Consider the following 27,915-nt stretch of genomic DNA (forward strand, 5'->3'; position numbering starts at 1 on the left):
CAGGAGAATGGCATGAACCCAGGAGGTGGAGCTTGGAGCTTTCAGTGACCTGAGATTGCACCACTGCACTACAGCCTGGGCAACAGAGCAAGACTCCATCTAAAAAAAGAAGAAGAAGGAGAGCTCTTAACCTGCTCAGTAATGCAAAATCGGCAAGGCAATCAGGTGTATGTTTATAAAAAGATAAGAAAAAGGCATTAGAAGCCAAAACCACGTGGCCAAGCAGGCAGTGGGCAGGAGAAAATGCTCAGAGGCAGAAAAGCTCACAGCGACAAAGCCAACAAGGTCTGCCCAGGACGGCAGCATCCCTCTGGCAAAGGAGCAAGGGAGCAGCACAGACACAGGCAAAGCCTAAACAAGTACAATGTGGCCACCTCCCAGGACCTGCACCACTGCCCTCTGGCTCTGTGGGCAGCCCATTGCAAAATTTCATGTGTTACATCTCAGGCTATGATTCTCTGCTAAGATGTAAGTAAAATGTAAGAATTTGAAAAGCATCTTTTCTAATAATGGCCACTATTGTCATCTCTCTCCTATCCCTGATGTAGCTTTCCAAATTCAATTTAAGTAAAACAGTAACCTTTGAAGGGAAAGAGATTACAGAGGGCCCATGAATTAGTTGAAGAGTAATTAAAAGCTAGGCATGTAAAACCACACATTACGCTTTAAAGAAGAAATTTAAACCTAATTAAATGATATTTGTTAAATTAGAAGGTAAAAATGTTGTGCCCTGTTGGGAACAGGCCCCCAAATCTGGCCATAAACTGGCCCCAAAACAGGCCATAAACAAAATCTCTGCAGCACCATGACATGTTTGTGATGGCCATGATGCCCACCTTGAAGGTTGTTGGTTTACTGGAATGAGGGCAAGGAACACCTGGCCCACCCAGGGCAGAAAATTCCTTAAAGGCATTCCCAAACCACTAATGATAGCATGAGCAATCTGTGCCTTAAGGACATGTTCCTGCTGCAGACAGCTAGCCAGAGCCCATCCCTTTGTTTTGGCCCATCCCTTTGTTTCCCATAAGGAATGCTTTCAGTTAATCTATGATCTATAGAAACGATGCTTATCACTGGCTTGCTGTCAATAAATATGGGAGTAAAACTCTGTTCAGGGCTTTCAGCTCAGAAAGCCATAAGCCCCCTGATTTCCCACTTCCCACCCTTTATTTCTGTGTGTGTGTCTTGAATTCCTCTAGCGCCTCTGGGTTATGGTCTCCACAACCACGCTGGTCTTGGCAGTGCCCTTCTCAGAAAGTGAAAAAGAGTTGTATGTAAGTGTAGTGAAAACATAAGCATGAATCACTGTCTTAACCCACTGATTAGATAGTCTTTGATTTGTACTTGCTAAAAGAGTCCTAAATTGAGTTCCTCAGCTAGTGAGTCACTGTTTTCAAGACTGTTTGCCAGATTGAAGTCCATAAACTTGGTCAGCCCGAAAACTCAATTACAAGATCTAAGCTATTCTGCCTGTGGCTTTAAGCACATGGTTAAAGTATATTATTTAAGTCTCTCCTTCTAGATATGCTTTCAGATTTTCTTTTTAAACTTCTTGTTACTTATTTCAGCTTTCCATATTGATAATTAATGCAGTCAATTGCTCAGTTATGACTGTGATATCATCAGGATTCCTTTAAGTAAAAGGCAATTCAAAGCGGTATTGCACTCCCCCATACCTAATGCTTTAACACTGTTTACTGATGGGTCTGGTAAACATGGAAAAGCTGCAGTCTAGTAGAGACCACATAATTCAATCACTCGATCTGAGTTCACTAGCACTCAGAGAGCTAAGGTTACTCTGTTTATTTATTAAAGAATTTTTACAACCTTAAGCTCACTCTGGACTTTCCAGCCTTATGTGGCAAATGTAGCCATCAATTTATGGGGTCAAGACTTACTTACAGCATGGGATATGAGGCTTACAAATGAGACTTTGATAACCCAGGATTTTAAATGTTGAAGAACACGGGATATCAGAGTGAAAAAGGTTTAGGGAAAATTCTGACAAGGGAAAATTCTAACCTGATATCAATAACTGGAAAGACAGGTTAAACCCTGCAAGGGGATACATTGACATTTTTTCTTCCTCACTTGCTCTTTTCTGCTGTCTGAATATGGGCATGAGGGCAAGAGTCATTTTAGACCACCAAGTGACCTTGAGGATAGAAGCCTTATACTAGAGGTGGTGGGAAAGAAAAAACAGAAGGACTCATAAAGAAAAAAATAATAAACCTCAGTATTAAGATGGAAAAATTCCCCCAATTGGTCTATAGGTTGAACTTCATCTCTATTAAATTTCAGCTATGTTTTTGCAGAATTTGATATGCTGATCATAAAATTTATATGAAAATGCAAGAGACACAGAATAGTCAAAACTTTGAAAAGAAGAAAGTTGGAGGACTTACACTTGTTGATTTTAAGGCTTTTTACAAAGCTATAATAATCAAGACAATGTGTTACTGACATAATGATAGACATATTGATCAATATAGACAATGGATGAATGGAGTAGAATTGACAGTCTAGAAATAAAACCTTATATATATGGTCAATTTATTTCTTTATGTATTCTGTCATCCAGAATACATAAAGAACACCTTCAACTCAATAACAACAATACCAACAAGGGTGCCAAGACCAATCAATGGAGGAAATAATAGTCTTTTCAAGAAATTTTGCTGAGACAACTAAGTATTTATATGCAAAATAATGAGTTTGAATGGCTACCATATACAAAAATTAACTCAAATGGACTATATTAGGTCAGTGCAACAGTAATTGCAGTTTACCACCATTACTTGTTTTTTTTTTTTGGTTTTTTTTTTTGAGACAGAGTCTTGCTCTGTCACCCAGACCAGAGTGCAGTGGCATGATCTCAGCTCACTGCAAGCTCCACTTCCTGAGTTCACGCCATTCTCCTTCCTCAGCCTCCTGAGTAGCTGGGACTACAGGCATCTGGGTAATTTTTTTGTATTTTTAGTGGAGATGGAGTTTCACCATGTTAGCCAGGATGGTCTCAATCTCTTGACCTCGTGATCTGCCCACCTCAGCCTCCCAAAGTGCTGGGATTACAGGCATGAGCCACCACGCCTGGCCTACCATTACTTTTAATGGCAAAAATGCAGTTACTTTTGCACCACCCTAATAGAACTAAATGTAAGAGCTAAAACTACAAAACTGTTAGAAGAAAGCATAGGAGCAAATCTTAATGACATGAGAGTTGGCAATTGTTTTTTAGATATGACACCAAAAGCATCAAGGACAAAAGAAAAAAATGGATAAATTGGACTTCCTCCAAATTAAGAGAACTTTTGTCCTGCAAGCAATACTATTAAGAAAGTGAAAAGACAAGTCACAAAATGGGAGAACATTTTTGCACATAATATATTTAATAATAGGCTGACATCCAGAATACATAAATACCTACAACTCAATACCAAAAAGACAGCCCAATTTAAAAATGGGCCAAGGATATGAATAAACATTTCTCTAAAGAAGATACAAAAATGGTCAATATGCACATGAAAAGATGCTCAATATCAATATCTATTAGGAAAATACAAATTAAAACACAAAATATAAAACACAAGATATCAATTTACACTCACCAGGATGGCTGTTATCAAAAAGACAGATAACAAGTATTGGCAAGGATTTGGGGAAATTGTAACCTTCATACATTGCTGGTAGGAATATAAAATTTGCAGCAGGTTTGGAAAACAGTTTAGCAGTTTCTCAAAAAGCCTGGGCATGGTGGCTCATGCCTACAATCCCAGTGCTTTAGGGAGCTGAGGTGAGAGGATTGCTTGAGCCCAGGAGTTGGAGACCAGCCTGAGTAACACAGTGAGACCTCTTTTCTACCAAAAAGAAGAGAGTTAAACATAGGGTACCATATAAGCCAGCAATCCATCTCCTAGATATGTACCCAAGAAAGTTGAAAACATATACTGACACAAAAACTTACATATGAATCTTCATATTAGCCTTATAATAATAGCCAAAAAGTAGAAACAACCCAAATACCCATCAACTAATTAAAATATGGTGTATCTATACATATTATTTGGCCATAAAAGGAAGTACTGATACATGTCATAACACAAATGAACCTTGGAAGCACTATGATCTCTGTATTAGTCAGCTCTTGTATTGCTATAAAGAACTACCTGAGACTGGGTAACTTATAAAGAAAAAGGCTTAATTGAGTCACAGTTCCACAGGCTGCACAGGGATCATGGCCCAGGAGACCTCAGGAAACACAGTTATGATGGAAGGAAGAGAGTGAAGGAGGAGGTGCTACATACTTTTAAACCACCAGATCTTGTGAGAAGTCACTCACTATCATGAGAACAGCAAGGGAGAAGTCCACCCCCATGATCCAGTCAGCCCCAGCCAGGCCCCAACTCCAATATTGGGGATTACAATTCCACATGAGATTTGGGTGGGGACACTAATCCAAACAATATCATTCTGCCCCAGCCCCTCCCAAATCCTGTGTCCTTCTCACATTGGAAGATACAATCATCCCTTCTCAACAGTTTCATTTCAGTATTAACTCAAAAATCCAAAGTCTCATCTGAGACAAGACAAGTCCCTTCCACCTATGAGCCTATAAGATCAAAAAGAAGTTAGTTACTTCCAAGATACAATGGAGGTACAGGCATTGGGCAAATATATCCATTCCAAAAGGGAAAAATTAGCCAAAACAAAGGGGCCACAGGCCCCACGCAAGTCCAAAATCAAGCAGGGAAATCATTAAATCTTAAAGCTTCAAAATGATATCCTTTGACTCCATGTCTCACATCCAGGCCACACCAATGCAAGGAGTGTGCTCCCAAGGCCTTGGGCAGCTCTACCCTGTTGCTCTACAGGGTATAGCCCCCATGGCTGCTTTCACAGGCTGGCATTGAGTGCCTCCAGCTTTTCCAGGTACACAGTGCAAGCTGTTAGTGGATCTACCATTCTAGGGTCTGGAAGATTGTGGCCCTCTTCTCATAGCTCCAGTAGACAGTGCCCCAGTGGGGAATCTGTATGGGGGCTGCAACCCCACATTTCTCCTCTGCACTGCCCAATAGAGGTTCTCCATGAGGGCTCCATTCCTGTAGCATACTTCTACCTGGACATCCAGGTGTTTTCATACATCCTCTAAAATCTAGGTAGGGGCTCCCAAGCCTTAACTCTTGCCCTCTGCACATCCGCAGGCTTAATACCACATGGAAACCACCAATGCTTATGGCTTGCACCCTATGAAGCAGTAGTCTGAGACATATCTGGGCCCTTTTGGCCATGGCTGGGATGCAGGGAACAGTGTCCTGAAGTGGCACAGGGCAGCGGGGCCATGGGCCTGGCCCATGAAACCTTCTTTCCTCCTAGGCCTCCAGACCTGTGATGGGAGGGTCTGCCTCGACGGTCTCTAGAATGTGTTTGAGGCATATTCCTCATTGTCTTGGCTATTAATATTTGGCTCCTCTTTACTTATGCAAATTTCTACAGCCTGATTAATTCCTTTCCAAAAAAATGGGGTTTTCTTTTCTACTACATGGTCAGGTCACAAATTTTCCAAACTTTTACGCTTCCCTTTGAAATGTAAGTTCCAGTTGCAGGTCATTTCTTTGATCACAAATATAAGCATATATTTGTAGAATCAGCCAGGCCACATCTTGAATGTTTTGCTGCTTAGAAACTGCTTCCACCAGATACCCTAAATCATTGCTATCAGGTTCAAAATTCTACATATCTCTAGGGCAAGGGCACAATGCCTCCAAGACCTTTGCTAATGCATAAGAAAATTGACCTTTGCTCCAGTTCCCAATAAGTTCCCCATCTTCATCTGAGGTCTCCTTAGCCTGGACTTCATTGTCCATATCAGTATCAGCATTTTCATCACAATAATTTAACAAGTCTCTAAGAAGTTCCAAACTTTCCCTTATCTTCCTATCTTCTTCTGAGCCCTCCAAACTGCTCCAACCTCTGCCCATTACCCGGGTTCCAAAGCTGCTTCCACATTTTCGGTATCTTTATAGCAATGCTCCATTCCTGATACCAATTTTCTGTATTAGTCTCTTCTCGCACTCCTGTAAAGAACTACCTGAGACTGGGTAATTTATAAAGAAAAGAGGTTTAATTGACTCACAGTTCCACAAGCTGTATAGGAAGCATGGTTCAGAAGGCCACAGGAAACTTACAATCATGGAGGAAGGCGAAGAGAAAGAAGGCACGTCTTACGTGGCTGGAGTAGGAGGAAGAGAGTGAAGGGGGAGGTGTTACACACTTTTAAACAACCAGATCTTGTGAGAACTCACTCACTATCATGAGAACAGCAAGGGAGAGGTCTGCCTCCATGATCCAATCACCTCCTACCAGGCTCCTCCTCCAACATTGGGGATTATGATTTGACATGAGATTTGGGTAGGGACACAACTCCAAACCATATCAATCCCATTTATATGAAATGTCCACAATAGATAAATCTATAGAGACATAAAATAGATTGGTGCTTGCCTAGTGCTGGACGTGACAGGAGGGTGTGAGTAAAAGAGGCAATGGAGTGATAGGTACAGGGTTTCTTTTTGGGGTGATGAAAATATTATAAAATTAGATTGTGGTTATAGTTGTATAACTCTTGAATATCCTAAAAATATATTGAATTTTCCATTTCCATTTTAAATGGGTGAATCTTATGGTATGTGAATTATATCTCAATAAAACTGCAAAAAATGCACAATTTGCAATTGCAAAAATATGGAACCAGTCCAAATGCCCATCAATGAGTGGATAAAGGAACTGTGGTATATATATATATATATATATATATATATATATATATATATATATATATATATATATATACACACACACACACACACCATGGAATACTACTCAGCCATAAAAGGGAATAAAACAATGGCATTCTCAGCAACCTGGATGGAATTGGAGACCATTATTCTAAGTGAAATAACTCAGTAATGGAAAACCGAATATCATACATTCTCACTCATAAGTGGGAGCTAAGCTATGAGGATGCAAAGGCATAAGAATGATATAATGGACTTTGGGAACTCAGGGAAAGGGTGAGAGAGGGGTGAGGAATAAAAGGCTACCCATTGGGTACAGTGTACACTGTTCAAGTGATGGCTGCACCAAAATCTCAGAAATCACCACTAAAGAACTTATTTACATAACCAAATACCACCTGTTTCTCAAAAACCTATTGAAATTAATTAATTTTTAAAAACTGCTGAAATCAATAGTGAAAGGATGGACTATTCAATAATGACACAGTTAATTGAATATCATATTTTAAAAATTAGATCCTTACCTCACACTATAACATAACAATAAATTCCAGGTGAATTATAGACCAAATATGAAAAGCAAAATTTTAATATTTTAGAAGACAATTTTTATGACCTTAAGTTAGAAAATGATTTTTAAAAACAGGATGCAAAAACACTAATCATAAAGAGATATTTTAGGCCAAGCATGGTGGCTCACACCTGTAATCCTAGTACTTTGGGAAGCTGAGGCAGGTGGATCACTTGAGGTCAGGAGTTCAAGACAAGCCTGGCCAATAGGGTGAAACATGTCTCTACTAAAAATACAAAAATTAGCTGGAAATCGCTCGAACCCAGGAGGCAGAGGTTGCAGTGAGCTGAGATTGTGCCACTGCACTCCAGCCTGGGTGACAGAGAGAGACTCCACCTCAAAAAAATAAATAAATAAAAATAAAGAGAGATTTTAATAAGGTGCATTAAAATAAAAAACTATCCATCAAAGACACCATGAATAAAGTTAAAATAGGCCACAATGAGAATATATTTGCCATGAATTTTTTCTTTTTTTTTGAGATGGAGTCTTGCTCTGTCACCCAGGCTGGAGTGCAGTGGTGCAATCTCGGCTTACTGCAAACTTCACCTCCCAGGTTCAAGCAATTCTCCTGCCTCAGCCTCCTGAGTAGCTGGGATTACAGGTGTGTGCCACCATGCCTGGCTAATTTTTGTATTTTTAGTAGACACGGGGTTTCACCATGTTGGTCAGGCTGAGCTCAAACCCCTGACCTCGTGATCCACCTTCCTCAGCCTCCCAAAGTGCTGGGATTACAGGCATGAGCCACCGTGCCTGGCCTACCATGAATATTTTTTTAAAGGTAGCATCCAGAATTAATAATCTTCTCCAACAAATTTCATTAGTAGTCAGGGAACTGCAAATTAAAATCAAAGTAAAATACTACTTTCCACTCATTAGACTAAAATCCATTCAAGTCTGATAATACCTAGTACTGAGTTGGAGTAATAGAAACTGCTAATGGGACAGTTAGTTGGTCATCACTTTGGAGAGAAATTAGTCAGTATCTAGTAAAAGTTAGTGATACACCTTCCATTTTCATCTGTTCTGTGCTGCTACCAAAGAATACCTGAGACTAGGTAATTTATAAATAATAGAAATGTATTTCTAATGGTTCTAGAGGCTGAGAAGTCCAAGATTGAAGGGCCAGCCTCTGCAGAGAGCCTTCTTGCTGTGTCATGCCATGGCAGAAGGGCAAAGAGAGGGCAAGAGAGAGCAAAAGCAAATTCACAGCATCAATCCCTTTTATAATCAGCATTACTCTATTAATGAGGGCAAGACCCTCATGGCCTAATCACCTCTAAAAGGTCACACCTCTTAATACTATTGCAATGGTAATTAAGTTTCTAATACATACTTTTTGGGAGACATTTTCAAACTATAGCACCTACCCTATAGCCCAACATTTCTACTCCTAGGAGTATGCCCTAGAGAAATTCTGCATAAATATCTAAAGAGAGGCCATTGTTGCATTGTTAGGTACTGGAAAATTGGAATCAATTACTATGTCTACCAGCAGCAGAAGATGGCTTTTTAAAAGTTTTGGTTTATTCATGAAATGGAATATTGCATAAAGTATGCTCCATCTCACCAGATGAAAACATTTTTCACTAGGACTATTTCAAAAGTAGTCTTATCACTGGGCTTCTCTATTATGCATAAAAATTTTAAGTGAACATGTTCTTTGACCTAGTACTCCTACTTTTAGGAATTTGCCCAAAAGGGACAATTATACTACTGGGATAAATCTTTGAATCATAAAGTAAGTTGTAAATGGTACAAGCAGTATGTCTTATTTTTATTTAAAGCACATTAACAATATTACACATATAGTAAAAAATAAATAAATAAAACATGTGAATAATAAACACCCAATTTAGAACAAGTGTTGACAGTGGAGAGGGAAAGAGAGAGAAAGAAGGAGAAATGGGGAGTGGGAGCGGGTACACAAGGAAATTTTAGTTGCAGCTCCAAATTTTTACTTTTTACACAATGAAGCGAATATGGCAAAATAAGATTTGTTAAAGTTGGGCAGCAGGTACACAGATATTCTATCATTATCCTTTGAATATTTCTGTAGATTTAAGTTGTCCATTAAAAAAATAAAATACACACATAATTTTTAAGATTAGTTTTTTCTATTTCCTGGCCTTCGCATGCACTGTTAACTTTACCTGGAATTCTTTATGCAGTAATTAAGAGCAAAGGTGTAGAGCAAGACTGCTTGAGCTTGGATCCCAGCACTGAGTTGATTTAGGGAGAATAACTTAATCTCTTAATCCCAAGAGAAAATATGATATAATAGTTTTGAGCTCATAAAGTTTTCATAAGCATTAAATGTGACCTATATATGTAAAGCAATCTAACAGTGCCTATAGTATTTATAAGTGTCTGCATTACCAAATTCATCATTATCATGGCATGTCATGTCACCATCCACTACATTACCATCACTGTCACCATCATCATCATCACCACCACCATCATCATTAACTCCCTTTGTCTAGTCAATTCATATTTGTTCTTCGTATTTTAGATACCTGTTAAAATATTTTTTCAAAGATGTCTACTCTGATTCTTCAGTACAAATTTGATTTAATAAGATCCTATCATTTTGTCCAAATACTTATAAAAATTTGTAGTTCTATATTTAATGTGTTTTGTTTGTTTAACATCTCTCTCCTACATTGTGTTAAGTTTTTTAAAGAGAAGGTAAGGGTTAAAGAGAGACATAGAGAGAGAAAGAGAGACAGAGAGAGAGAGAGAGCGGTTCTACAGCAATACAGGTATATTAGAAAAACCTGCAAAGGTGGGGACCAGCTTAATGCCAGAGCCCCCCACTGCTTATAGGCTGGGGTACTTATAGGTCTGGGGGTACTTATAGGCCTGGGTGGGTGGGGTCTGAGCAGTATGGCTTGCTGCCCAAGAAGATGTTGATAAGACGTTCCCATGATGAGGCAGTTTGGTCCTTGCTTCCATAGAGTGTGATGCTTCTTGCACTTTTTCCCAGCAGAATGTGGTAGGGATGTTCCTTCAGGTGGGCCTTTGCCTGGCAGGGTATGATAAGGATGTTCCTGTGCCTTGGAATCAGGTAGTTAGACAGGATGTTTCTCACAGCCTGAACCCCCATGGAATGTTTCACTTTGACCAGGGTCTGCGAAATAGCAGGGGGCTTACAAAATGGTGTAGTTTGGACTAACACCTTGGAACACAAAAGTTTCTTGGGGCCAAGGCTGGCGTATTAGTCTGTTTTCATGCTGCTAGTAAAGACATACCTGAGACTGGGTAATTTATAAAGAGAAAAGAGGTTTAATGGACTCACAATTCCACATGGCTGGAGGCCTCACAATCATGAGGGAGGCAAAGGAGGAGCAAAGGCACGTCTTACATGGTGGTAGGCAAGAGAACGTGTGCAGGGGAACTGCCCTTTATAAAACCATCAGATCTTGTGATACTTATTCACTATCAAAAGAACAGCACGGGAAAAATCTGCCTCCATGATTCAATTACCTCCCACCAGATTCCTCCCATGACATGTGGTAATTATGGGAACTACAATTCAAGATGAAATTTGGGTGGGGACACAGTCAAACCATATCAGCTGGGTATGTTTTATTCACCTTTTTATACCCATTGTCATGTCTTCTGGACAAACAATGGATGTAAAATGGTATAGACTCCTGAGTACTCATTTGTTGAATGACAAATCTATGAACCATTTGACCAGTATGCAGCAGCCATTAAAATTATGTTTATGAATAATTTACAGCATGGAAAAATTTGGGGTTGCTAGTAGAAAAACAAAAAGGTACAAAAGGATATATATAATAAGCCTACAATGCCATATAAACAATACTAACAGCAAAAACAAACCTATAAATTGGGGGAAGATGGGGCAGATAGAAGTAACCTAAAATACTAACATGTTGTTTTGGGGTCATGAAATTATAAATGATTATGCACCCCTTAATTTTTACTTTCTATGTTTGATTTTTCTATGGTAAATGCATTTTTATTGAGGTGGAATTCACATAACATGAAATGAAAAATTTAGTGGCATTTATTATATTCACAATATTGTACAACCACTAGCTCTACTTCCAAAACATTTTCATCACTCCAAAATAAAACCTTGTACCCATTAAGCAGTTACTCCCCATTATTTCCTCTCTTAGCTCCTAGCAACCACCAACCTGCTTTCTGTCTCTAGGGATTTATTTATTCTGGATATTCCATAAAAATGGAGGCACAATATGTACCTTTTATGTCTGGCTTCTTTCACCAAGCATGTTTTTGAGGCTAATCCACATTGCAGCATGTATCAGTACTTCATTTCTTTTTATGAATAACTGTATACAGACCACAATTTGTTATCCATTTTTTGGTTTATGGACATTTGGGTTGTTTCCATCTCTCAACTATTGTGAATAGTGCTGCTATGTATATTTGTGTACAAGAATTTGGTTACCTATTTTCAATTCTTTTATGTATATATCTAAGATGAAATTGCAGGGTTATATGCTAATCCTATGTTTAGCATTTTTTTTTAGGAACCATTAAACTGTTTTCCAAATCTGATGCCCCATTTTATATTCCTACTAGCAATGTAAGCAAGTTCCAATTTCTCCATATCCTCAACAACACTTGTTATTTTCTATTTTTGTTATAGCCATTCTAATGAGTGTAAAGTGATATATCATTGTGGTTTTCTTTGCATTTTCCTTATGAACATTGATGTTGAGTACCTTTTCATGTACTTTTTGGTCATTTATATATCATCTTTGGAGAAATGCCTCTTCGTGTATGTTTTGCCCATTTTAAAACTAGATTGTCTTTGTTGTTGACATGCATGCATTCTTTAAATATTCTGCATACTAGGCCCTTATCAGATATATGATTTGCAAATGTTTTTTCTCATTTTACTGGCTGTCTTTTCACTTTATTGATAATGTCCTTTGATGCCCAAAAGTTGTTTATTTTGATGAAGCATATTTATCAATTTATTTCTTTTATTGCTCATGCTTTTGATGTCACCTCTAAGAATTTATAACCAAATCAGAGGTAATGAAGGTTTACCCCTCTATTTTCTTCTAAGAGTTTTATAGTTTTGACTCATTTACTTAGGTCGCTGATTCATTTTTAGTTAATTTTTGCATATGATGTGAGGAAGAGGTCCAACTTTACTCATTTGCATGTGGATATTCAGCTGTGCCAGCACCATTTGTGAAGAGTCTATCATCTCCTCATTTAATAATAGTATTGACACCTTTGTTGAAAGTCAATTGATAATAAATGTATGAGTTTATTTCTGGAATCTAAATTCTATTCCATTGATCTACATGTCTATCCTTGTATCAGTATCACACTATCTTGATTACTGTAGATTTGTAGTAAGTTTTGAAACTAGAAAGTGTGAGTACTGCAATATTCTTCTTTTTCTTTTTTAAAGATTGTCAGGGCCTCTTGCAATTTAATAGGGATATGAGGATTGACTTTTCTATTCTACAAAATTAAAATTTTGTTAGAGATTGCATTGACACTGTAGGTAGCTTTCAGTAACATTGCCATCTCAACAATTTTAAGTATTCTAATACATGAATATGAGCTTTCTTTCTCTTTATTTAGGTCTTCTTTAATTTCTTTCAGCAGTGTTTTGTAGTTTTGGGGTACAAGTCTTTCACCTTTAAATTTTGGTGAAATTTATTCCTAGGTATTGCATTTTTTTATGCTATTGTAAATAAAATTATTTTCTCAATTTCCTGTTGGATGTTCATTGCAGGTGTATAGAAACTCAACTGATTCTTTGTGTTGATCTTATGCTGAGACCAGCTCAGTTGGGGAGACCCTAACCTAGAAGCACTAGAGGAATTAAAGACACAAACACAGAAATATAGAGGTGTAAAGTGGGAAATCAGGCGTCTCACAGCCTTCAGAGCTGAGAGCTTCAAACAGAGATTTACCCACATATTTATTAACAGCAAGCCAGTCATTAGCATTGTTTCTATAGATATTAGATTAACTAAAAGTATCCCTTATGGGAAACGAAGGGAAGGGCTGAAATAAAGGGATGGGTTGGGCTAGTTATCTGCAGCAGGAGCATGTCCTTAAGTCATAGATCACTCATGCTATTGTTTGTGGTTTAAGAATGCCTTTAAGCGGTTTTCTGCCCTGTGTGGGACAGGTGTTCCTTGCCCTCATTCCGGTAAGCCCACAACCTTCCAGCGTGGGCATTATGGCCATCATGAACATGTCACGGTGCTGCAGCGGTTTTTATGGCCAGTTTTGGGGCCAGTTTATGGCCAGATTTTGGGGGGCCTGTTCCCAACAATCTTATACCTTGCAATTTTGCTGAATTTGCTTGTTAACTTTGATAGTTTTTTTGAGGATTATTTGGGATTTTCTACATATCATGTCATCTGTGAATAAAGATAGTTTTGCTTCTTTCTTTCTCATTTGGATGCCTTTTATTTCCTTTTCTTGCCTAATTTCCCTGGCTAGAACTTCCAGTATGATGTTGAATAACCATGGTGAAATGGGCATTCTTGTCTTTTTCCTGATGTTAGAGAGAAATTTTTCAGTCTTTAACCATTGAGTATAATGTTAGCTGTGGGTTTTTTACAAATATCTTTTATCATGTTGAGGAAGTTCCTTCCTACTCCTACTTCTTGGAGTGTTTTTGATATAAAGGGTATTTAATTTGTCAAATGCTTTTTCTGTGTCAGTTGAGATTATCATGTGAGATTTTTTTTCCTTCATTCTATTAGTGTTGATGTTACATTGGTTGATTTTTTATGTTGTACTACATTTGCATTCTTTATATAAATTTCACTTGGTCATGGTGTATAACCCTTTTAATATGCCATTGGATTTAGTTTGCTAGTATTTTGTTTAGAGTTTTTGCATCTATATTCATAAGCAATATCAGTCCACAGGTTTTTTGTGGTTTATTTGTCTGGCTTTGCTATAATGGTAATGCTGTCTTCTTAGAATGAATGAGGGAGTGTTTTCTCCTCTTTCATTTTTTAAACGTTTGAGAAGGAGTGATATTAATTTTTCTTTAAATGTTTGGTAGAACTTACCAGTGAAGCCGTCTGGTTCTTAACATTTTTCTGTGTTGGGAGGTTTCTGATTACCAATTTGATCTCTTTAATTTTTACAGATCTTTTCAGATTTTCTATTTCTTCTTGAGTAACTTTTTAGCAATTTATGTATTTTAGAAATTTGTTCATTTAATCTAGGTTATTTAATTTATTGGTGTGCATTTTTTCATAGTATTATCTTATAATCTTTTAATTTTTGTAAAGTTGATAATGTCCCCACCTTACCTGATCTTAGTTATTTGTGTCTTCTCTGTATTCTTTTTGTCTTCTTCTTCTGTCTTAGCATAGCTAAAGGTTTGTCAACTTTGTTGATCTTTTAAAGAGTCAACTTTTGCTTTCAGCATGCATTACTTTTTAAATAGAAATATATACACCTAAGTTGCATTACAAAGGAGTTGTCCTCCACACACTTATTCTTTCCCACCATCAGAGGTTTATGGTCCCCGCAAAAGTCACCATCAGTTGGGCTCAACTCCAATCAGTCATGGTAGGTCAGGGTCCATCTCATTGTCTCCATCACTCATGCCCACCCAGGGTAAGTCTAATCATGTTCACCAATCAGAACCTCTGCCACATCAGCTCTGTGGGTTTCCTCTCATGCCATCTGTACCAACAATGAGCACAGTCTGGGTTTCCTGATGTTTTCTATAGCATGGTGCCCCTCCCTGGGACACCTCAGAAGCCACAATGATATTCATTAAACTTCTTCCTGCAAGTACTCCCTCTATTGCTCCTTCTACTCACCAAGCTTAGTGTCAGGGAATATGCTGGTGGGGAGTATGAATCTTAGCTTCTCACTCCCAGACTCGGCTCCCAACCTGCTGTTGCCAAGTCTTGGGGACATCTATAAATGCCTTCTAAATACCTGTCTTGGCCTATCCCCAGCCACAGATTCCTCCCTAGAGCAGGCTACCTCTGAGGCATCTATACTGAGATCTTAATCACAGAGACATTTAAAACATCTAGGCTACAAAAGAATTCCTACTATAGGGTTCAAATGAATTTCTTTCCGTCACTTGAGACAGCTTTTTAGCAAGTACATGTATTAAAGATTCTGATTTCCCCTTTTTTCTCCTACAGTTTGTTTGGCCTAAAGGTATGACATCTAATCTGCTGCATTTACACTCTAAGTCAAAATTACCATTTTGTTCTTTTAATTTCTATTTCTAATCATACATTCTTGTCTACTCCTGGTTCATCTGGAGACAAAGTTGAACTTAGAAGATGGAGGAGAAATTCTTATCTGCCCTCTGCTAGTTGACACTTCCTTTCCAAGAATCATTTGCAGTTGCTGGGCTTTCTTGCTGTGACTCTATGCCCTGTTGTGTTACTTTTTCATTTGTGACAAAAACAGTGGTAATAGTTTGCTTCATTTTTATTATGAAGACTTGACCAGGATAGGTAGGAACATAATTACTGCTTTTTCTGTGGGCATCATATTGGTCCAGATCATGTTTAACCAGAATTGAAGATGTAAAATCCTAGAACTCACTAATCTATTTTAGTAGGTCACAGGAAGCATGCAAACCATAAAAACCGCAATGAACCAAAAGCATCTGTGTTGACAAGAGGCAAGAATTTCTCTATTTTCTAAAGGCACTAACTGAACAAATCTATTGCCCATTACTTAGGAAATTGCTAAGGGCATCGTTAAAGTACTTCAGGCTGTTGAAAAACCTTTTCTGTCTTCTTGCCCCACCACCAATTCTCTCTAGCTATGCTTTCTCTCACATGTTCTTGCCATCCATGGAGTGGCAGAGAGGTTCTGAGTACAACTCTAACTTTCAGTTTCAATGGCCTAATCCCCAACTCAACTGCTGACCTTGAGTGTAAAAATAAACAAGATCTTAAACATCTTAGGGCCAGCATTCTGGGTCTTCTTTTGTTATTTGGGGAGCATAAACTATTCTCATATCATTGGCTTGCAGAAAAATTGAGCTTCTCCTCTTCCTTGCCCCATGTCACCTTGAGGTGACCACAGCCCTGCCTTCTATGTAATCCTGCTTGGTCAGCAGGCACATCAGAGCTCAGTGGCTTGTGACATACTTTCCTTCAAGCCTGCTCGAAGGGCCATACTCATCATTGAGACTGGGAACCTTAGAAACCATGAACCCAGTGCCAATGGGTAGATACAGAATTCTCAAACTCATGAAAAAACATCCTTTTTAACTCTCTCCGTGTGCATAAAGAATTCTAAGATGTACTGATCAAGATTCCCAATTTTCTAACTATCTATTAATATATGGACGAGGTAAGAAGAAAGTTGCAAGAAAAAAATTTGTTTGACTTGACGGTTGTGTGGTTATTTGCCACACTCCCCCAGATCCACTCTGAGTCCCAGGATGCTGATTTTAGGGGCTACATTGCCTAGACTGTCCATTATTCCCTCTTCCCATCTGGTTCAGTCACTGGGAAGCACTGGTAGGAGGTCAGAGTGGGAGAAGGAGGTTAGGATACTTTCTGCCCCTGCTGTCCTACTGCTTTGCTGAACTTCTAGCAGTGGCTGAGCCATCAACCTGCAGCTCTCAATTCCAGCTGTCTGTAGCACTCAAGTGGTATTGTTTATTCTTTTGATCCTTCTAGCTGTTAAGGAAGAAAAAAATAATTTTTTCCTCAATGCTCATAAGTTCTTGGAATGGACCCCTGTAACAAAAGACAGATTAACACGAGAAAAGTTTATTAACGTACATATTTTATACGTACATAGGAGCTATCCAGGGAATGAATAATTCTTAAAAAGGTGACTTTGAATTCCAGCTCATATAGCATCTTCAACAAAGTTCAGTAACATTTTAGAGATATGACAAGACAAAGAAAATGAACTTTGAGCCTCTAGGGACAGTGACTTGTAGGAAGGCAAAAGGAATAAATGGAGGTAAAGGCTGGTTAGTAATACTTGTTAATGAAGATTCCTCTGGTGCCATCTCCAGGTCCACAAGGATTTAAATTTGTCTTCAGTGGTGAACCTTTGTTCACCCTGGCAGAAGGTGTGGAGGGGGGTGCAGATCCGTTTTGTCTTTGTAAGTCTATATCCTGCTTTTAGACAAATAAAGGGAGGGAAAAGAGCTTTCCTTCATCTGCTTCTTAATTGCCTTCAGCTCAACAATCCTTATGCAAAAGAGGTACATTTTAGGGTGTCAAATTCTGGTCTCCCACAAAGCATAGGGATGACAGACCACCTCACCATCCCTGTTGCTTCTTTTAAGCCTGCTCACCCCTCCAAAAATATTTTCATTCTATACTGTCTCTTCAAAATCTCAGCGGAGGGTGCCCTCTGTTATCCTGCCCTCTGTGTCAGTATAAGCCAAAGGTTTGAATCCTGGCTCTGCAACTATCTACCTCTGTGCCTCTCCTTGTTTATGAAATTACAGGGCTGGAGACAAAGATCACAATGTGAAGACAAAATTGGAGAGCGGTCCTAATCAGCCAGAGCAAAATTTCTGGCTCTTGCTCTTCCCCATCCTGGGTTGAATCATAGGAACAGGTGGCAAGATGCCAGGGTCAGGAGATTCCAGAAGTGGCAGCAAGCTCAGTGTTACCAGGTCAGGGATGACCTGTCTTATTATTGAAATCTCAGAGATATGCTCCAATTCCGGCCCAGAGACACATTGAGAGACAACTGGGGAACTTGCTATGTTCCTGAACAGGCAATGAGCTGTCTTCCAAGAAAAAACCTGAGACCCTTCAAGTCTCAGGTCTTACTTAGCACATATACCAGGTCTTACACAGGACACATGGTTACAACTGACTGAAATCTGGGCTGGGTGTAGGAGCTCACACCTGTAATCCCAGCCCTTCAGGAGGCTGAGGCAGGCAGATTGCCTGAGCCCAGGAGTTCGAGACCAGCCCGGGCAACATGACAAAACCCCATCTCTACAAAAAATAGTCAGGCATGGTGGCATGCACCTGTAGTCTCAGCTACTTGGGAGGCTGAGATGAGAGGATTGCTTGAGGTTGAGACTGCAGTGAAGCATGATCATGCCACCGCACTCCAGCCTAGGCAACAGAGCAAGATCTTGTCGCAAAAGAAAGCAAAAACACAACATAACACAACAACAACAACAACAACAACAACAGCAAAAAAGCCAACTTCTTGAAATCTGGAAAGGACACCTGGACTGCCCTGAGCATTTGATTGTTGTTGGCTCTAGCAGTGGATGCATCCTTCAACCTCTGGCACTCTGCAGGGCTCAGACTGTTCTGTTCTGTTTGTTACCTGTGGAGTGCCTGCCAGACCCTGCTCTAGCTGCTTTAGGTCCATTTACCCTCATAGACCCCCAGTCTTGTTATTCATATTTCATATTTGGGAAATGGAAACTTAGAAACTTGCCAAGTCCACAGCATGAGATCCTGCCTCCGGTGTCTGCTGGATTCCAGAAAGTGCCAGGGGCCAACTTAGATGACACCATGTTCTCTGCACAATCTTAGGAATGCTCCTAGTCTGATGTCCCCATTGCAAAATTTACATTATCTTTTAACAAAACGTCTTTCCAAGGAGGGGCATTTAAAATAACTGAGGTTCTTCTTGCTAAGGACGTTCCTGACACAAGAGATAATTTAGCATTTCCTTTTCATTAAAAAGTTTGAAATCCTGTAATTTGTGATAATGTGGATGAACCTAGAGGATGTTAAGTGAAATAAGCCACACACAGATAGACAAATACCACGTGATCTCACTCTTATGTGGAATTTTTTTTTAAATAAGTTGCTTAGCCGGGCATGATGGCACACACCTGTAATCCTAGCTACTCAGGAGGCTGAGGTGGGAGGATGGCTTGAACTCAGAAGGTGGAGGTAGCAGTGAGCTGAGACTGTGCCAGTGCACTCCGGTCTGGGTGACAGAATGAAACCCAATTTAAAAAAAAAAAAAAAGTTGCTATCTTAGAAAAAGACAGTAGAGCAGTGGTTACCAGAGACTGGGGAGGAAAGAGAGGAGGTGAGAATGGGCAGCAGTTGATCAACGGGTACAAAGTTACCATGAGATAGGAGAAACAAGTGCTGGTGCTCTGCTCCAAGTAGGGTGACGGTAGTTAATAATGAATTCTGTATATATAAATAGCTAGAAGAGAGGGTTTTCAATATCATTATTATTTCAAAAGAAATGATAAATGTTTCAGAGGATGGATATGTAATTACCCTGATTTGATCATTGCACAATGTATACATGTAGCAAAACATCACATTGTGTCCCATAAATATATACAATTATTATGTGAATTAAATAAAAAAAAATTTTAAAGTCTTATCTAAATGAAATTTCTAACCAGATTCTGAATCCATGATACCACTGAAACCAGCACACATGATCGCAGTAAAACCTCATTATACTTCCTCCACTATCACCAATACCCTTTATTCTCTGGAACATGAAACATTCTGTTGTGCTCATATCATGCAAATTATCACTAGTAGGAGAGCAGAGAGTGGAAATGTTCCAGGTATAAAGACCCACAAGATAAAGAAGCTCAGAGTCGTTAGAAACAGGAGCAGATGTACAGGGTTTGCCTGACTCACACTCAAGGTTGCATAAGCAAGATTTCAAAATTAATCCTATTCTGGAGACCTCAACCCAATGTACAATGTTCCTGACTGGAAAAGAAGAACTATATTTTTCTGATTTTTTTTTTCAAATCTTTACCATTAGTTGCCCTGTATCTCCGCCTTCACTTTCTGCAGGAAACTTTATTTCCTACTTCTGCATGCCAAGTTTCTACCTCTAGATCTGTTTGGTTCAGTTGCTGAGAAGCCTGACATACCAGGACTGCCTGAGACAAGCCACAAGCTGGTGAGTTGTAGGCATTTTTTCCATTACTTTCTGATTCATAGGCTCAACGCACCTCAAAGCTGGAAATGCCGGGTCTGGGTACACCCTGGGGAACTGCAAAGCCTGCACACTTGGGGGGAATGATCAAGATGAGAGGCAGGGGTGGGGATGGCATGTGCACCAGGAGATGTTAGAGAAACCCTGAGGAAGAGCAGCGTGCAGCAGGTGATGGGGGAGAGTGGGCAGCAAGCGAGGCCAGGACAGCCACTCTGCTCAGTCACCAGTCCACACACCCAGGGGCTCACTCTGCCCCTCTGAGCACCCAAGGACGTTAAAGAGCTGGAACTGTTAGTCTAAATATAGGACCATCCAAGCTCTGAACCAAAATGTGTCCCTTGCCTCAACTCAGGAGATCCACAGAGGCAGAAGTAAGGAATTTATTTTCTGAAAGATAGATTTCTATCAGTTCTGGGTGACATGTTCTGACACTTGAAATGACACCTAGGACAGCACATTTCAGGCATCTTGCTCATTGTTCACTGTAGTAGAAGCTACATGCTAGCCAGTTGTAAAAATGAAATTAAGTAATGTGTGCACAGCATTTAACATAGCATCTGAGCTTCAGGAGCACTCAATTAATGACCACAGTTGTGATTCTTTAGGCAGATGCATTTTTTTCCAACTTTGATCAGAGGTCTTATTTAGCTTCTCCAGATTTCAAGAATCTGGCTCAGTGATATGAAATACAAGACTTGTGAAAAGTGTCAATTGCAAGAGAAATGGAAGGATAAAGTATACAGGTGGGTGGAAAAGAAATTCACAGTCACTGCCAGAAAAAAAATTCTTGAGAATCAAGTCCTGATGATGTTAGGGCTTATAGTTCTTATTATAAAGAGTTTTATGTACTCATTCAGTGAACATTTATTGGTGCCTCCTTTAGCCAGGTACTATCATAAGAGCTGAAAATAGAAGCATAATCCAGTCCTTGATCTTGAGGAACATGCTGTGTGTAGCAGATAACATAATAAGTGCTTATCTAGATGCATGCAGTGTTATGTGATAAGAGTAATATGACAGAGGATACAGATTAGGCTTCACAGAGAAGGGGGATTTGAGCAGGAGGTATTGAAGGGTGAATAGAAGCTCACCAATCATTTTGGGCAGAGGGGCAAGGACCTGCAAAACCACTGAAGCATGAAGGAAATGGTGAGTTTAGGGAAAATGAAGAGAAGATGGCTGTGACTGAAGCACAGGATTTGGGATTGGAGAAGGGACTGGAGGTGAGGCTGAAAAGAGGCAAACTCAGAAAAGATGTTGTGCTGGGCAGTCTGGACATTATCTTTGAAGCCCACCACATATAAGTCATAGGGCTACTGGAGGTTTTAAGCTAAGAGTGACTATTCAATTTCAACTTAAGAGAAGATAGGTTGAGAGGGAACATGGCTTGAGATGAGCCATGAGCAAAGGAAAGACTACAACAAAGCCAGGAGTGAGGAGTGTGTGAAGCAAGAAAGTGACAGTTGAAAGCAGTGCAGAGGGGATGAATCTGAGAGGCATCTATGAGGTGGAACTCAAATGACATGATAATAATACAGGGCATTTCTCTGTGTCAGATGCTGTCCTAAGTCCTTACTCCATTGATCTTCACAGCAACTCAGCATAGTTAATATTTTATGCATAAAGAAATCGGCACTTGAAGGAGTAATTGGCCCCAGATTACACTGCCTATAAGGATTCAAATCCAGGTTTGTTTGGCTCCAAAAACTGGCTCCTAATTTTCAGAAGGAGAAGCAACCCAGGGCAATGCCCAATTTTGCTTCTTAGGCAATGGAGGAATCCACAATCGGAAGGAGTTTTCAGCAGTGCCCCATTTGGGGTGGGTTGAATTTGAGGTCCCTGCATGATACCCACTTTGCTCACTTCAGTGCCTAAAACTGAGTATGGTTCATAGTAGGTGTTCAATAAGTGTTGATGCAGTGAATACATGCATGGGGAGATATGCATCAGGCAATGGGAAATTCAACTCTAAGGCTTAGGGGAAAGCTGGAGCTTGAAGACAGAGCTTTAGAAAACAGTAGCATAGAAGGGAGTAGGAACCATGAGTTTAGACAATACAATTCAGGAAGAACTTTGTAGCAAGGATAAAGAGGCAAAAAATTAAAGAGGTGAGAGCTAAGTGTGGTGCCTGGGGAATCTTAAGGTGTGGGCACGGGGAGGAGATGCCAGCAAAGAACATGAATAAAAAGCGGTAGCACAGCCCCTCCCATCTGGAAGCCAAAAAGAATTGTAAATGGAGGAAGTTAGCAGAAGGATCAAATACTTGAAGAGGGTGGAATTGGAATAAAACCAGGGCATTTGAAAAATTGGGTTGTCACTGCAATCTTAACAAGAGAAGTTTTGGCAGGATGATGGAGGCAGAAAGCTGAGAGAATCATCAGTTAGAACGTTTTTGACTTCAGAGAACAGAAAATGCAGTTCATAATGGCTTTAAAACAGGGGCTTGTTTTTCTCCCAGCAATTTGAGAGGCCAAGGCGGGTGCATCAGGAGGTCAAGAGACCGAGACCATCCTGGCCAACATGGTGAATCCCCATCTCTACTAAAAATACAAAAATTAGCGGGGCATGGTGGTGCACGCCTATAGTCCCATCTACTCAGGAGGCTGAGGCAGGAGAATCACTTGAACCCAGGAGGTGGAGGTTGCAGTGAGCTGAGATCATGGCCACTGCACTATAGCCTGGAGACACAGCGAGACTCCGTCTCCAAAAAAAAAAAAAAAAGAAGGCAGAAGGTGAATAGTTCAAGGGTGGGTTTAGGACTCAGTGATAATAGGATTCTGCCTGGCTTCTCATGGTTCTCTAGGTCTTCCATTCATGGCACCATGCCCTCACTAGGCATGCTGCCAGAGCAGGAGGGGCAGGTGGAGGGTTCTCTTGTGTCTGTCTTATCAGGGAAGAAGAGCTTTCTCAGAAGCCCCCAGCAGACTCCCTTTTCATATTATGGTCCAGCAATGAGTCACAGACCTATGCACCACCTGCAAAGGAGCCAGAGAAAACAAACGCCCAGCGCTTTTAGCCTGAAAATGAGAATCTGGTTTGCTGGGGAAGATAAAGGGTGTCGGAAAATGGCTGTTGGGTAAATCATTGATGTCTGCCACTAGGAATGAAAGGCAAATCAGGAACTGGCACACATGCTTTCAGGGAGATGGCTGCAAGGGAGAGGGCAAAGACTGGGAAGTTGCTTATGTGGTGCCAGACTATTTGGAAGATCATGGATTGCGGTGTTTGTGTTGTGTGGTCATCATTTTGTTCTTTGTTTACAGAACAGAGAAAGTGGATTGAACAAGGACGCATTTCCCCAGTACATCCACAACATGCTGTCCACATCTCGTTCTCGGTTTATCAGAAATACCAACGAGAGCGGTGAAGAAGTCACCACCTTTTTTGATTATGATTACGGTGCTCCCTGTCATAAATTTGACGTGAAGCAAATTGGGGCCCAACTCCTGCCTCCGCTCTACTCGCTGGTGTTCATCTTTGGTTTTGTGGGCAACATGCTGGTCGTCCTCATCTTAATAAACTGCAAAAAGCTGAAGTGCTTGACTGACATTTACCTGCTCAACCTGGCCATCTCTGATCTGCTTTTTCTTATTACTCTCCCATTGTGGGCTCACTCTGCTGCAAATGAGTGGGTCTTTGGGAATGCAATGTGCAAATTATTCACAGGGCTGTATCACATCGGTTATTTTGGCGGAATCTTCTTCATCATCCTCCTGACAATCGATAGATACCTGGCTATTGTCCATGCTGTGTTTGCTTTAAAAGCCAGGACGGTCACCTTTGGGGTGGTGACAAGTGTGATCACCTGGTTGGTGGCTGTGTTTGCTTCTGTCCCAGGAATCATCTTTACTAAATGCCAGAAAGAAGATTCTGTTTATGTCTGTGGCCCTTATTTTCCACGAGGATGGAATAATTTCCACACAATAATGAGGAACATTTTGGGGCTGGTCCTGCCGCTGCTCATCATGGTCATCTGCTACTCGGGAATCCTGAAAACCCTGCTTCGGTGTCGAAACGAGAAGAAGAGGCATAGGGCAGTGAGAGTCATCTTCACCATCATGATTGTTTACTTTCTCTTCTGGACTCCCTATAATATTGTCATTCTCCTGAACACCTTCCAGGAATTCTTCGGCCTGAGTAACTGTGAAAGCACCAGTCAACTGGACCAAGCCACGCAGGTGACAGAGACTCTTGGGATGACTCACTGCTGCATCAATCCCATCATCTATGCCTTCGTTGGGGAGAAGTTCAGAAGGTATCTCTCGGTGTTCTTCCGAAAGCACATCACCAAGCGCTTCTGCAAACAATGTCCAGTTTTCTACAGGGAGACAGTGGATGGAGTGACTTCAACAAACACGCCTTCCACTGGGGAGCAGGAAGTCTCGGCTGGTTTATAAAACGAGGAGCAGTTTGATTGTTGTTTATAAAGGGAGATAACAATCTGTATATAACAACAAACTTCAAGGGTTTGTTGAACAATAGAAACCTGTAAAGCAGGTGCCCAGGAACCTCAGGGCTGTGTGTACTAATACAGACTATGTCACCCAATGCATATCCAACATGTGCTCAGGGAATAATCCAGAAAAACTGTGGGTAGAGACTTTGACTCTCCAGAAAGCTCATCTCAGCTCCTGAAAAATGCCTCATTACCTTGTGCTAATCCTCTTTTTCTAGTCTTCATAATTTCTTCACTCAATCTCTGATTCTGTCAATGTCTTGAAATCAAGGGCCAGCTGGAGGTGAAGAAGAGAATGTGACAGGCACAGATGAATGGGAGTGAGGGATAGTGGGGTCAGGGCTGAGAGGAGAAGGAGGGAGACATGAGCATGGCTGAGCCTGGACAAAGACAAAGGTGAGCAAAGGGCTCACGCATTCAGCCAGGAGATGATACTGGTCCTTAGCCCCATCTGCCACGTGTATTTAACCTTGAAGGGTTCACCAGGTCAGGGAGAGTTTGGGAACTGCAATAACCTGGGAGTTTTGGTGGAGTCCGATGATTCTCTTTTGCATAAGTGCATGACATATTTTTGCTTTATTACAGTTTATCTATGGCACCCATGCACCTTACATTTGAAATCTATGAAATATCATGCTCCATTGTTCAGATGCTTCTTAGGCCACATCCCCCTGTCTAAAAATTCAGAAAATTTTTGTTTATAAAAGATGCATTATCTATGATATGCTAATATATGTATATGCAATATATATAGGCTCTTGCTTGATCTCTCCAGGAGGTAGTGATTATGAGAAGGGGGTGGAGAATGATGAGTTCCTTCACCAGGAGCAAAGGACGGGGATCGTGTGGAACCACTGCAGAACTATTTCCGAAATCAACTAAGTGGAGAGAGCCAGGAAGGCTGCATCAGAACCCAGTAAAGCTTCTTGTCTGGATCTGAGCTGGTTTGTTTTGTGCTTGCTTTTCCCTGCCTTGCCACTCCCCTCACTCTTCTCTTTTCCCCACAGCCTTTTTCACATAGCTCTTGGCTGTAGGATTGCCCCACTCCAAAAACCAGTGTGTGGAGGTCCAGGAGTGAGACCAGGAAAGAATGTGAAAGTGACTACACAAGGACTCCTCGATGGTCGTGGAAAAGGAAAGTCAATTGGCAGAGCCCCTGAAGCCAGTCTTCAGGACAAAGAAGGAGCCTAGAGACAGAAATGACAGATCTCTGCTTTGGAAATCACACGTCTGGCTTCACAGATGTGTGATTCACAGTGTGAATCTTGGTGTCTACGTTACCAGGCAGGAAGGCTGAGAGGAGAGAGACTCCAGCTGGGTTGGAAAACAGTATTTTCCAAACTACCTTCCAGTTCCTCATTTTTGAATACAGGCATAGAGTTCAGACTTTTTTTAAATAGTAAAAATAAAATTAAAGCTGAAAACTGCAACTTGTAAATGTGGTAAAGAGTTAGTTTGAGTTACTATCATGTCAAACGTGAAAATGCTGTATTAGTCACAGAGATAATTCTAGCTTTGAGCTTAAGAATTTTGAGCAGGTGGTATGTTTGGGAGACTGCTGAGTCAACCCAATAGTTGTTGATTGGCAGGAGTTGGAAGTGTGTGATCTGTGGGCACATTAGCCTATGTGCATGCAGCATCTAAGTAATGATGTCGTTTGAATCACAGTATACGCTCCATCGCTGTCATCTCAGCTGGATCTCCATTCTCTCAGGCTTGCTGCCAAAAGCCTTTTGTGTTTTGTTTTGTATCATTATGAAGTCATGCGTTTAATCACATTCGAGTGTTTCAGTGCTTCGCAGATGTCCTTGATGCTCATATTGTTCCCTATTTTGCCAGTGGGAACTCCTAAATCAAGTTGGCTTCTAATCAAAGCTTTTAAACCCTATTGGTAAAGAATGGAAGGTGGAGAAGCTCCCTGAAGTAAGCAAAGACTTTCCTCTTAGTCGAGCCAAGTTAAGAATGTTCTTATGTTGCCCAGTGTGTTTCTGATCTGATGCAAGCAAGAAACACTGGGCTTCTAGAACCAGGCAACTTGGGAACTAGACTCCCAAGCTGGACTATGGCTCTACTTTCAGGCCACATGGCTAAAGAAGGTTTCAGAAAGAAGTGGGGACAGAGCAGAACTTTCACCTTCATATATTTGTATGATCCTAATGAATGCATAAAATGTTAAGTTGATGGTGATGAAATGTAAATACTGTTTTTAACAACTATGATTTGGAAAATAAATCAATGCTATAACTATGTTGATAAAAGATTTAAAAACAACTGGCTGTTTTTTTACACTGTGGTGTGGAAGATTGTGTTGTGTTCACAACTTTTCACTTCTTCCCCTGTGTGATTACACACACCTGCCCTTGTGGTGTGACTTGCAGTGCGCCCTACAGGCCACACACCCCACGCCCTCCACCACTGGCTCTGCTGCTGGAATGTGAGCAGAAGTGACATCTGCCTCATCCAAGCGGAGCCTCTTGCTCAGCCACAGGAAGGCCCATTCCAGATCACACCCGTCAGCCCGTGCGCCCTGGTGAATGAGAAGACACAGGGAGCTGCAGCCACATATAACATGAGCAAGAAGTCTGTGTTTGCTGTGATAAGCCACTGAGTTTTAGGGGTTGTTTGTTAAGAAGCACAAAAACCGATTAAGACATGTGGTATATAGTGACTTCATATATAGAATCTGGAAAACTATCCATTTATTTTCAATCATGGAATTCAATATGACAAGCATCCCGGAGGGTCTACCTATGCCAGACTGGGTTGGAAACAGAAAGACAGATGTTAATGCCAGTGTCCTTTACACCTCCAAGTCCAGGGCCAGCTGTGGAGTGGGAGGGGTAGAGAAGGTCCTGTGCACAGTCACAGTGCGCTGTGCAGAGCAGGAACAGAGGCATCTGTGAAAAGTGCTGAGAGCCTGGAGGACAGAGTGACTAATGCAATGACAGTCTTGCATCATAGGAATAACAGCCACAGCAGGATTTTATTGCTGCCAAAGAAACTGCCATTTAAAAATTGCCAGCCATCCGGGAGGCTGAGGCAGGAGAATGGCATGAATCCAGGAGGCGGAGCTTGCAGTGAGCCGAGATCGGGCCACTGCACTCCAGCCTGGGCAACAGAGCCAGACTCCATCTCAAAAAAAAAAAAAATGCCAACCATCTCTCTTTCTAAAGTGGAATCCTCAAGTCTCGTTT

The 27,915-nt window shown here is 40.6% G+C and overlaps 1 protein-coding gene across 2 annotated transcripts, besides 2 other annotated features; it reads left to right on the forward strand.

The window, feature by feature from the left end:
* Nucleotides 10,581–10,787: a silencer, noted in NCBI's record as "fragment chr3:46386020-46386226 (GRCh37/hg19 assembly coordinates)". NCBI's record gives its function as "represses an EF-1alpha promoter that drives an FKBP-Casp9 reporter gene in an ReSE screen in K562 erythroleukemia cells {active_cell/tissue: K562}" and the evidence as "EXISTENCE:reporter gene assay evidence [ECO:0000049][PMID:32094911]".
* Nucleotides 16,280–16,429: an enhancer, noted in NCBI's record as "active region_19796". NCBI's record gives its function as "activates an Ori minimal core promoter by ATAC-STARR-seq in GM12878 lymphoblastoid cells {active_cell/tissue: GM12878}" and the evidence as "EXISTENCE:reporter gene assay evidence [ECO:0000049][PMID:35858748]".
* Nucleotides 20,163–26,992, forward strand: CCR2 (C-C motif chemokine receptor 2). Of its 2 annotated transcripts, NM_001123041.3 has the most exons (3): nt 20,163–20,229; nt 23,529–24,520; nt 25,729–26,992. In NM_001123041.3, exons 2-3 carry the CDS (start codon nt 23,580–23,582, stop codon nt 25,910–25,912), a joined length of 1,125 nt encoding a protein of 374 aa, NP_001116513.2. In that variant the 5' UTR covers nt 20,163–20,229; nt 23,529–23,579; the 3' UTR covers nt 25,913–26,992. The 2 variants fall into 2 exon arrangements, with proteins under 2 accessions (NP_001116513.2, NP_001116868.1); NM_001123396.4 differs by having other exon boundaries at nt 23,529–26,992.

This window comes from Homo sapiens, chromosome 3 (genome assembly GCF_000001405.40).
Source record: "Homo sapiens chromosome 3, GRCh38.p14 Primary Assembly".
NCBI lineage: Eukaryota > Metazoa > Chordata > Mammalia > Primates > Hominidae > Homo > Homo sapiens.

Excerpts from the sequence above, each read along its gene's own strand:
- CCR2 (NM_001123041.3), top strand. The coding sequence starts at position 23,580 with ATGCTGTCCACATCTCGTTCTCGGTTTATCAGAAATACCAACGAGAGC. Across the intron at positions 24,521-25,728 it reads GTTGGGGAGAAGTTCAGAAG|CCTTTTTCACATAGCTCTTG; the intron begins GTATCTCTCGGT and ends TTTTCCCCACAG.